Source organism: Homo sapiens, chromosome 15, assembly GCF_000001405.40.
Source record: "Homo sapiens chromosome 15, GRCh38.p14 Primary Assembly".
In the NCBI taxonomy this organism is placed as follows: Eukaryota; Metazoa; Chordata; class Mammalia; order Primates; family Hominidae; genus Homo; species Homo sapiens.
In genome coordinates this window covers 87,396,317-87,409,056 of record NC_000015.10, presented here as the reverse complement: position 1 = coordinate 87,409,056, position 12,740 = coordinate 87,396,317, and the positions used below count along the sequence as shown (strand labels likewise).

Sequence of the window (12,740 nt, the reverse complement as noted above, 5' to 3'; positions counted from 1 at the left end):
ACCACATACTTTCTTTTGTACTTAAAAACAGCCTAAATACCCCCTCCAAGAACTGCCCTGCGGTCAGCTGGGCCAGAGAATTCTCGTAATATTTTGGTAGGGAAGACAGTTATCATAAGGCTTGGCATAGAAAAGAAAGAAAGACATGGTGCCATGCATTAGGAAACTTCAGAAAGGCTATTTGAAAGCAATAGTGATTGCAAGAAATAGGGATTTGCAATATGTCATAGTATTTGTCTAGGAAAACATTTGAAATGTCTAATATGGCTGTATGGTTGTCTAAGAAAGTAGAACATTAACATTTCCTTCATTTCTTTGTTGAACAAAATTTAATCTTTGAGAAGATATGATTTGATGTTCTACTGGTTACGGTGGGCTGATTTAATTATGACAACATCCAGAAAGGGAGATAGTGTGGCTCTTTATACAATGAAAAGCCATCCTCTCTCCTTTCTTTCCCTTCACTCTCCTTCTCTCCCTCACTTCCTTTATTCAGTGTTTATATGTTATTTCTTTTCTGCTAGGCACTGTGCTAGATGCAAACACAAGCTTTCTTGCCTCAAGGTACTCACATTCTGGTGTGAAAGCCTGAGAGATAAGCTAAATAATCATCATGATCTAGTATCATAATGGCTAGATGGAAGACAGTTCTAGAGAAGTGCAGAGAGAGCACCAAGGAAGCTCAGAGAAGACTCATTAACCTTGTGGCATTTTTAAGTGTTTGCCAACTGGATGTTACAGAACCAAACTGTGGTCTGCTTGCCTGGTCTAGTAAGGCCAAACATCCACACTGTGATTTGCAGTGGGAGAAAGGAGGGCATTTATTTGCAGGGAACAAAGCAAGGGAAATCAGGCAGCTCACACTGAAGACCAGACCTCCCTGCTGACCTGCCTTTAAAAACCCAGGGGGCGGAGGTTACAGGGAAAGTTATACATCAATACATGGTGGCTATACATTGGTTTGACCTAAAAAGGTGGGGCCTCTCAAACCAGGGGTTTACAAGTTATAGGTAGATTCAAAGATTTTCTGATTTGCGATTGGTTAAGGAGGGAAAAGTTTTATCTAAAAATTTGGGGTCAGGAGAAAAGGATGTTAGCTCTATCACATGGGTGTGACTTCCTTCAGGCTCCTCAGCAAGAACTTTAAAATAAAAAATGGTAGTTGATGTTAGTCTCAGTTTCCCCTTATCTGAGGTCTACATGCCAGTAGTTCCATTTTGTGAGGGTCTGGGTTTCTGAAAAACAACTCAAGGACATATGTTAATATGGTATCTTTAGACCGAGTGCGGTAGATCATGCCTGTAATCCCAGCACTTTGGGAGGCTGAGGCGGGCAGATCGTGAGGTCAGGAGATTGAGACCATCCTGGCCAACATGGTGAACCCCGTCTCTAGTGAAGTACAAAAATTAGCTGGGCGTGGTGGCATGTACCTGTAATCCCAGCTACTCGGGAGGCTGAGGCAGGAGAATTGCTTGAACCAGGGAGTCAGAGGTTGCAGTGAGCTGAGATCGAGCCACTGCACTCCAGCCTGGTGAGAGAGCGAGACTCTGTCTCAAAAAAAAAAAAAAAAAAAAAAAAAAAATATATATATATATATATATATATATATATATATATACACACACATATATATATATACACACATATACTCTATATTATATATATACATATACTATATATTATATATATACGTATACTATATATTATATATATACATATACTATATATATTATATATATAGTACCTTTAGTTTCTATAAAGAATATCTCAGGACTCTAACTTCCTTGGCTATTGTTTTAAGCTACTATTACCTTCTTCCTTATGAAGCTGCTCATTTAATTCTCAGGGATGGCTAGGTGCCTGGAATTTCCCTTGAAGAAACTCAAAATTTGCCATTATTTCCGTGCTTTGAGGATGGGCTCAGCAGGTCAATAAGAAGTATTCTTGCTTTGTCTCATGGGGAAGGGAGGTGGGGTGTTTCAAACAGAAAGATCATCATGTACAAGGCTAGGTATTGGGACAAGGCTAGAACTCTCAAAGAGTCTGCAAAGTTTGTTGTCTTAGGAGATCCACCTGGAGAGATGGGGGGAGTACCTTAACTTGTAGGAGAAGACACCTGTTGGGAGGGGTACCGATCAGGAAAATTTCAGAAAAGCCTTCTCTATTAGAGATGGTTAAACTGGTCTGCTCTCCTTGGATGCCAAAATCTTAACATATTTATCAGTTCACTTGCACTTGGTCTGAATAGTAATAATTATTTACGACAATGGCTGCAGTCTCTCCCTCCCTCCCTCCCTCCCTCCTCCCCCCCCTCCCTCCCTCCCTCTTTGTTTTATTCTCTCTCTTCTTTTTCTTTCTTTCTTTCGTTTGTTCTTTTTCTTTTTTCTTTTCTCCTTCCTTCCTTCTTTCTCTCCTTCCATCCTTCTATTATAAATTTGTAAATAAGAAAACCTTAGAAATAGCTATACTAATATGGAGAAATGAAAACTCTTCAGGTAGAATAACTTAAACACATCTATTTATTGAATAGACTACAAATATTTACTATTTTTCCTTCATTTATTTATTGAACAAGGGTACTATTGAGAACCAACTAACTTGGAGCCGTGTATGAGCCACTGGGAATAGACTAAATGAGATAATCAACGTCTTGATCTCATATTCTTTCATTCTACAGAAGGAAGCAGGCAACAGGTAAGCACACAAATAAATGAGTAATTTCAGAGAATGGTACATCCAAAGGCAATATAATCACGTGTTGGTCATTTTCCTGTTTGGTGTCAGTCCCCCTCAGGGCCTTTCTATGCTTTGTTATATTTCGGGGGTGGGTGGGATAGTGGGACCAGGAAAACTACATTTCCTGATGTTTTTCCCAGAAAGCTTCCTAAGGAGCTCTGCCAGAGAGAATCTGTACTAGGGGTTTAGAGGCAGGAGGAGCCTCCTGCTTGCCCTCTCTTTCAGCAGCAGCTATAGACTCCAGTGTCTTTCACCCATATTCCTGCAACCTGTTCTGTGCTTTTTTATGTGATGGGCAGTCAGGTGTGGCCACAAGCGGAGATGCAGGAGATGCTCAGGAAAACAAAGCTTATTAATATTCTCACATGTCTTGGACACAGGAGGGCATGGCTTGCTACACAGGGCCCCATGGGCAAGTCTCAGGGTGGTCTGAAGGCAGAAAGCAGAAGTGAGGGGAAGGTCTCAGCCAGAGCCTTTATTGAGATTTCCACTGGAAAGAGCAGGACAGGTTGAACAGTTTAGGACTGACTAGTTTGAATAACCTAGGAAGGCTTTGGGCTATAGGGTGGTTCTTAGTTTCTTGGTCCATTGCTCTGGGGTAATTAAGGCAAAGGAATATTGCCTCCTGACGTGTGGGGGTCAAATAAAGGAGTTTTGGCTCTAGATGATTAATTTCCATATCCAAGAGAAGCTCCTGGCTGAGCCCTTTGCTATTTTATCAACTGTATGCAGGCTCCCTTCTGAGCCTGGTCCTGGCACTTGTCACCCCCACGGATTTGTCTGGCATCTCCTCCAGCTGCCAGCACAGGCTGTTGTAGGGGAGGGGCTCCTTCTGGTGGTCCTCGCTTTGCCTCCTCCCTTTGTCCTCCAAGTCCTTTGGATGGCAGCTGCTTCTCACGGTTACCAATAACTCAGTTACTTAGCCACCTCATTTTGTCCACTCAGTATTTCTAATGCTTTTATAATCCATTTCTTACAACCAGTCCCTCTATTTGAAATGTAGGGTGATTCCTGGCATTGGTCCTGTTGATATAGAGAGTGATAGAGGATGCTGCCTTGGGTCAGCTAGCTGGGCAAGGCATCTCTGAGGAAACTGTAAAACAGATATGAAAAATGTCAAGAGATTACCCTTATTTATACCCAGGGGGTGAGCACTCCAGGCAGAGGTGCCTGCAAGTGACTTGAGGAAGGAGAAAGTGTGGTCAACTCTAGAAATGACTAGGTAGAACTCTGATACTAACCTTCCAATTACTCCTCTTTAAGAATTGACTTCATGCTGGGTGTGATGGTTCGTGCCCATAACCCCAGCACTTTGGGAGATCAAGGCAGGAGAATGGCTTGAGCTCAGAAGTTTGAGACCAGACCAAGCAACATAGCAAGACCCCCATCTCTCCAAAAATAAAAATAAAAAAATAGCTGGGCATGGTGGCTTGCATCTCTGGCCCAAGGTACTTGGGAGGCCAAGGCGGGAGGATTGCTCGAGCCCAGGAGGTCAGGGCTGCCATGAACCATGTTTGTGCCACTGCTCTCCAGCTTGGGTGACAGAACACGATCTGGACTGGAATTTCTTTAGCTTGGATGCTGGTAGCTGTGTGCAGTGGTCCTAGAACACTGATAGCCCATGTACAATGCTCCTAAATCGACCTTTCTAAAGGTCCCAGTTGAGACTCCTTCATCTGTTCCATTTTTCCAAAGGTTTTGGTTGCCATCTGGTATTTTTCATCCAACCAATGACTTCTCCTTTGTCTTACATAGTTTTAAAGCTGTTTGCACTCTCTGGTTTGCTCTCTCTCTCCCTGCCACGCTCTCCGTTCTGCCCCATCTCTTTGTCTGTCATCTTTCCCTTGTGAAATTCAGCTGTGCCGAGGGAGAATCAAGTGCGACATCTTCACTCCATTCTGGATTTAGGCAAGGAGAACAACTGCTGGGTCCCATCTGAGTTGGAAAGAGCTCTCCCATGGAGAAGGAGTCTTAGACACAATGGTGTTTCCTGATGATTGCTATTTCGTATTCTCATTCATGCAGCTGTTCCCTTACTCGCTGGAGAATCAGTTGACTACCAGTGTCATCAATGTGGTGACTGAAACTCAGTGAGACCTGGTTTCATTTCTCACAAATAGGTTGAGTTTCATCCTTCAGTTTCGTCTCATTTGACCTTGGAAAGCATTATCCAAATTTGTTGAGCCCTTCAGAGTGAGCACTGACCTCAACCACCCTCCCAAGGAGAAGCTGGTGCTTCATGACACTTCATGACCTTTTATCCGAAGGTGGTCACTTGGGTGTCTATTTAAGTCTAGACGAGCACAGCAGGCCATTGTTTGAAAATAGGCACTTTTAATCTAAAAAAGCTTTTTTTCCATGTGCTTTAGGGGAATTAAAATGATCAGTTCTGTATAGCTGAGTGATAGTGCAAGCCAAAATATTTTTGAATGAAAAGGGATGCATGGTGAACATAACTTTGATCTTTGTCTACCCTGGCTTATGGGCCAAAAGTTGTTTATCCAGGACAAGGTTTAGTAAAAAAAATATATCTCAGTACAAAAGGTATGGTTTGTTAAAATGTTAGTCATTCATTCTACATATTCTTTGTAGACTTTACAAATCAGAAAATCAAAGACTATGGTGAATTCTCATCTCTGCCCATAAAGGGGCTTCCAGTAGGGCAGAATGCCTAGACTGGATAATATTCATTTTAGTACTTTTCATGATATGAGTCTATGGCTGGAAAATTCTTTGTAGTTGTTGTATAGGCTCTCTTTACTGATTCCAAAGAGCTTATTTTAGTTATTTCTATTCACATGTCTGTTTCTCAAAGAAAATGGTTAACTTTCCCCTGAGACAGGAGGAAGAACTGCATTTTGTTGTAGATTTGTATCCCCCTCTGGAATGCTCCCTCGGTTATTTTGCATTAAGATCAAGCCATTCTTCCATCAAGAGAGCTTCCAGGACCACTCCAGCGCACAGGGATCACTCTGTCCTTTCACATCAGCTCTGTGTCTGTCCCTCATATTTGACAATCTGCACACATAGCCTATAGGACATTGTTGATGGTGTGCTAAATAAATTATTTTTATCAGCTTTACTTTTTGTTCTGGATCACTACTCATAAATATCTTATGCTATTAATTAGTTTCTAAGTTACTTACGAACAATAATTGAAGTTTATAATTTTGTGTTTTTCGTGATGCCAACCCAGTACTGAGCACACAGTAGGTCTCAGTAGGTTTTTCAATTTGATGATTTCATGACAACTAATGTGAATATCTCTTTGTTCTGGTATTCAGAGTAACAAGACGGAAGTCAAACTTAGATATAATGAGCTAAAATATTTGCGCTCCAACTCCATCCATTTGGCTGGTAGGGATGTTTTCAGTGTTTAAAGATGAGGGATGCATCCGGGTGCGATGGCTAACATCTGTAATCCCAGCAATTTGGGAGGCCAAGGTGGGCAGATCACCTGAGGTCAGGAGTTTGAGACCAGTCTGGCCAACATGGTGAAACCCCATTTCTAATAAAAATACAAAAATTAGTCATGCCTGGTGGCGCATGCCTGTAGTCCCAGCTACAAGGGAGACTGAGGCAGGAGAATCTCTTGAACCTGGGAGGCGGAGGTTGCGGTGAGCCAAAATCACACCACTGCACTCCAGCCTGGGCAACAGAGAGAGACTCCGTCTCAAAAAAAGAAAGAAAGAAAGAAAGAAAGAGAAATAAAATAAGGATGAGGGATGCAATATTACAATCCTTTTAAATTACTGATTTTTCTCCTCCAAGCTTTCTTCAGCCCAGTGTTTTTCCATCCGAGTAAATAGCACCATGAACATCTGACTGATGAGGCTTAAAACCTAGAAGTCACCCGTTTCTATTTTAAAAACAGATTCATTGAGGTATAATTGATAAAATATTGCACATATTTAATATGTTCAATTTGATGGCTTTGGATATATACAAACACGGATGATACCCACAGTCAAGGTAATATCATATAAATCTTTCACCTTTTACTCCTAGTTCTTTTTTTTTTTCCCCTTCTCCCTACACATCCAATCCACTGCAAGTGCTCCACTGACAAGTCTAGCTCAACTACGAAAGATGACTCCTCTTCCCATCCACACCTTAGTCTAACGCACAGCAGCTGCTTCAATGGTCTCGGCTTCCCTTGTCACCTCCCTACTCTGCACAACAATCACTGTGATCTTTTCAACAAATGCTGATAAATCTCTTGTAACCTCCCTGCTTTAGATGCTCCAGTGGCTTTTCACTGCACTTAAAAATCCTAAAGAGTGTGCGGCAGTATATCATTTGGGGTTTAATTTGCATTTTCCCAATAAATAATATGTCAAGAATCTTTTCATGTACTTATTTGCCATCTCATCCATATATCATTTTTAGTGGTGGTTTTCTTCAAATCTTCAGCTCACTTTTTAAAATAAGGTGGTTGTGCTTTCTTATGATTGGGTTTTGGGAGTTCGTTTTATATTCTGGATACAAGTCTGTTATCAAATATGTGTTTTGCAAATGAGAATTTTCTCTCAGGCTGATTGGTGTCTTTTCATTTTCTTAATAGTGTCTTTTGAAGAACAGATGTGTATAGTTTTTATGAAGTCCAGCTTATCAATGTTTTCTATTATGGCTCATTCTTTGGGAGCCATATCTAAGAAATCTTTCTAAAATCCATGGTTACAAAGAATTCGTCCAGTGTGTTCTAATAGAAACATTAATTATAGTTTCAGTTTGGGTTTTCTTTTTCCCTCCCTCCCTTCCTCCCTTCCTCCCTTCCTTTTCCCCTTCCCCTTCCTTTTCCTTCCTCCTTTCCTTCCTTCCTTTTGCCCATAGATGCCTGTTCCAGCACCATTTCTTGAAAATGCTATTCTTTCTCCCTTGATTTGCCTTAGTATCTTTGCCAAAAATCAGTTGGCTAGATTTGCTTGGGTTTATTTTCTGGACTCCCTCCCCTGTTTCACTGATCTATATGTCTATTCTTTAACTCACACTACACTGTCTTGATTACTGAAGCTATACAGTATATCTTAAAATCAAGTGTGTGAGCACTCCAGTTTTGTTTTTATCTTTATAATTGTTTTTGGCTATTATGTTTCCTTTGTATTTTAATGTAAATTGTTAAATTAACTTACACATTTCAACAAAATATCATGTTAAAGTTTTTATTGGAATTATTTGAATCTATAGATCAGTTTTGAAATAATTGAACTTTTCATAATATTGAGTCTTCCAACTCATGAACACATTATATCTTTTTATTTACTTGGACTTTCTTTGATTGTTCTTCTCTGGGTTTTATGGTTTTCAGCATAATGATTATATAGACATTTTGTTTGATTTATGCTCAAGTATTTAATGCTTTAATGCTATTATAAAGATATTTTAAAAATTAATTTCTAATTGCTCATTGCTAGTATATAGAAATAAAATTGATTTTTATTGTTGACCTTTTATCACGTGACCTTCCTCAATTCACTTATTAGTCTTTGCATTTTTATTTGTCATTTATACAGGAATTTCTACATAGAAAATTATTGCTCTGTACTTATAGATAGCTTTATTTTTTTCCTTTTTAATGTGTATATATTCCCCCCTTGAACTACACCTTTATTGCAGTGGATAAGACATCCAGTATAAGACATACAATATAACAACAAAAGTATTTTGACAACAAAAGTATTTACCATTTTCTTAGTCTAGAGGGAAAACAGTCAGACTTTCATTATTAAGTGTGCCATTTGCTGTAGGGTTTTCGTAGATGAAGATTGTCACCCTGAGGAAGTCCCCTTCCACTTGAGTTTGCTGAGAGTATTTATCATGAATGAATGTCAAATTTTGTTAAAGGCTTTTTTTGCATTTAATGAGATGATTGTAATTAATGGTTTTCTTCTTTAGTCTATTAATATAGTAAATTACATTGATTGATTTTCTATGTTGAACTAAACTTCTATTCTGGGGTTAAACTCCCTTGGTTATGATGTGCTATCTTTTTATATCTTGCTAGATTCATATCCTAATTTTTTGAGCATTTTTGTTCCTATGATTATGAGGGATATTGCTCTGTAGATTTCTTATAATATCTTTATTTTCATTTCAGGGTAATTCTCGCATTATAAAACATGTTGGGAAGTTTTTCTTCATTTCCTATTTTCTAGAAAAGTTCATACAGAAATGGTGGTGTTTCTTCCTTAAATGTTTAGTAGAATTCCCTAGGGAAAACATCTGGGTCTGAATATTTTTTTGTGGGAAGAATTTTAGCTAAAATTGCAATGTATTTCTTAGATGTATGACTATTCAGGTTATCACTTTCTTTTGGAAAGAGCTTTGGCAGTTTGTGTCATTCAATACAATTATTTATTTCACCTAATTTGACATAAAGGTTTTTTAAAACTTTATATTTTATTATCATGTAATATTTATAGAATCTGTAGTGAAATCCTTGATTTCAATATTCCTGATATAAAAAATATGTTTATTTTCTCTTTTTTTTTCTTTATCATTTGAATGAGAGCAGGACAGAATTTGGCAATACTTTTTGTGTTATGGGCTATATGGTCAATATTTTTTGTGTAGGCAGGTCATTGGTCTCTGTTTCAACTACTCAACTCTCTTGTTGTAGTGGAAAACAACCATAGATAATATGTAAATAAATGGGTGTAGCTGTGTCCCAATAAAACTTTATTTACAAAACAAACAGTGAGGTAGATTTTGCCCATGGAATGCAGTTGGTTGACCACCTGGCTATATGATTACCAACTTTACTGATCTTTTGAAAACACTACCTTTTGTTTTAATTGGCCTTTTTAAATTCTTTTCTCTTTTTGAATTTATTTATGATGTTATTTTTTTTCTCCCTGCTTACTATAGGTATAATTTTTTTTCTTTTTGCTAATTTCATAAAGTGAAAGTTTAGATCGAGGATTTCAGTCCTCTCCTCTTTTCTAACATAATCCTTAATCCTGTAATTCTTTTTCTTTAGCCCTGCTTTAGCTGCATCCTTAAAATTTTAATACATTTTATTTTCATTTTAATTGGATTCAAAATATTTTCTAATATCCTACATAACTTCTAATTGTAGGTTATTTAGAAGTTTGTGTATATTATCCAAATTTTTCTGTTGTTGAAAATTGTATACTTTATAGTCAGATGGCATAGTTTATGATTTAAATTATTTTGAATTTTTTGAAGCTTGATCTGTGGCACAAAATATATCCTTGTGCATACTTTAGGTGCACTTAAAAACAATGTGTATACTTGATACTTTCTGGAAAACAATGTTTGATGGAATGTTCTAGAAGTGTTAACTCATTCACGTTGAGTGATACTGTTATGTAGGTTCTTCTATACATAGTAATATTTTTTTACTTGCTCTATGTATTCCTAAGGCATGATTCTTGAATTCACAAACTATTAGGTTTTGCTTCATTTATTTTGAAGCCCTGGTGTAGGTCCATATGAGTCTATGATTGTTTTGTCTTCTTTGGTGAAAGAACTTCTTGAAGAGTATATAATGCGACATTTCGCCCTTGGTCATATTTGTTGTTCTGAAATCTACTTTAATATTGTATAGTCACTCCAGCTTCCTTTGGATTAGCGTTTTCATTACACATATTTTCCCATCCTCTTACCTAACCCTGTGTATATTTTTAAGAAACAATAATATAATTGGGCCTTGATTTTTAATGCAAAATGACTTACTCTCTGTTTTTAATTGATATCTGTCTTTTGATTGAGATGCTTAGAATTCTTATATTTAGTGAAACAATTGATATAGTTGGTTTAAAATCTATCACCTGGCTATTTTTTTTAAATTTCCATCTTTTTTTTTCATCCTTTTGCCTACTTTTCAGCCTCCTTTGAGACAGGTTAGATTGTAAGTGTTCCCTGTTTGGCACGGTAGAGTAGTACTATAAAAATAACTATGGAAGCTGAAACCATACAAAGTGATCTTAAAAATCAATAGGATCATCTACAATGGTTTCATGACCTTTAATTTTTTTGCCCAAAACATCTAAATCTTTCTTACTGTTATAATGTGTAGAAAAATTAAAACTAAAAACACTAATTTTTTAATATACTGTAATTAAAAACATTTAGTCTACTGTAATTCAAAACATTGAGAATTGTGGGGCTTACTTTGTTAGTTTTTGTAACATAGTAGTTTGGAAAGTGTTGCATTCTTCTCATAGTAAAATTTACAATATGGAGTAAGCCTCTTTTCTATGTTTTGGAAAATTGTTATACTCTTTTATAAGTTTGGATTTGTTTTTGACATTTGGTCTTTTGTGTTTTCAATGTCATGAAATATTTTTGAGAGTTTCTTTAATCTGAAGTTTTTTCAAAACCTTTACTTTCTCTTTTTTTCTCACAAGCCCCTTTACTCATTATTGTCAGTATATTTGTTGTCACTCAGGTCTTCTGGCTGCATGTCTAGAGTCTCTTGGACAATGGCAGTGTACAGGTCATGGTCAGCTACTTTTTTCCATAGGATCCCTTATGTTCAAGTTGAATTTCACTTACAGCATCATCACTTTTTGTTTCTTGCCTGCATTTTCATCTTTGTCTCCAATTCTGTCTTTCAATTACCTTGTTTGTTACATGTAAGGTTATCACTGAGTGACCAAACAGCAACAAAACTATTCGCTATACTGTCTGTGCAGGAACTGAAGAACAGAGTGCAGGGACCAGTCCTTGATAGGTTTTGAAAAGAGTGATATGATTGGTCACTGATAATGATGCATATCTGTTTTTTTTTTTACATAGTTATTTGTGAACTGAAGAGCTTGCAGTAAAGTCTATATGCGGTTATTTGAAGTTATTATACAATACTGAAATATGATATGTTTTGCAGAGGTCAACAAAATCATTGACACTGAAATTTAGGGTTTAAACCATGATAAGTAAAATGTGTGCATATCAGAAAAATGAAAAATAAGGACCATTTGAATTTTTATGATTCCATTTTATCTCTATCATTGTTCTATTATCCATATATCTTTCCTAATTTTATTTAAATATTTTTAATAGAATTTACAATACATATTATTCAATTATCACAAATAATTATTCAGTTATCTTCAAATAGTATTGTATCACCTTAAGTAAGGTAGAAGAACCTTGCAATAATATATCTCCAATTCTTCCCTTACTGCTTTTTCTGGTATTTCTATCATACATTATATTTTTACATATGTTGTAGACCCAAACATAAATAGTTATTTCTTTTCCTTTACATAGTCAATTACCTTTTTTTAAAATTTTATTATTATTATACTTTGAGTTTTAGGGTACATGTGCACAACGTGCATGTTTGTTACATATGTATACATGTGCCATGCTGGTGTGCTGCACCCAGTAACTCGTCATTTAGCATTAGGTATATCTCCTAATGCTATCCCTCCCCACTCCCCGCACCCCACAACAGTCCCCGGTGTGTGATGTTCCCCTTCCTGTGTCCATGTGTTCTCATTGTTCATTTCCCACCTATGAGTGAGAACATGCAGTGTTTGGTTTTTTGTCCTTGCGATAGTTTGCAGAGAATGGTGGTTTCCAGCGTCATCCATGTCCCTACAAAGGACATGAACTCATCATTTTTTATGGCTGCATAGTATTGCATGGTGTATATGTGCCACATTTTCTTAATCCAGTCTATCATTGTTGGACCATAGTCAATTATCTTTTAGAGCCATTACAAATAAGAAAATTGTCTTTTTATATTTACCTTTATTTTGAGCATTCCCAGACTTCATTTTATTTTAGTGCAGATTCAAGTTTCTGTCTGGAATTATATGTTCTCTGAGTAAAAAGTTTCTTTAATATTTTCTGTAGCACAGATCTGCTAGCAATGTAGTCTTTTCATGTTTTTGTCTGTTTTCTGAAAATGTGCTGATTTCATCTTAAGTTTTTAAATGTATTTTTGCTAGCTATTAAAATGTAGGTTGGCAGTTTCTTCTTTTCTTTTCTAGAAATTTAAAGATGTCACTACATTTTTCTTCTAACTCGCA

At 36.9% G+C, this 12,740-nt stretch overlaps 1 long non-coding RNA gene across 1 annotated transcript in view; it reads left to right on the top strand.

The window, feature by feature from the left end:
* LOC102724465 (uncharacterized) overlaps positions 1-12,740 on the top strand; it is a 379,687-nt gene that overhangs the window by 294,799 nt on the left and 72,148 nt on the right. Inside the window, exon 11 of the long non-coding RNA NR_187944.1 lies at positions 2,576-2,694. This is a non-coding gene — a long non-coding RNA (uncharacterized LOC102724465). The remainder of the gene's footprint in view (positions 1-2,575; positions 2,695-12,740) is intronic.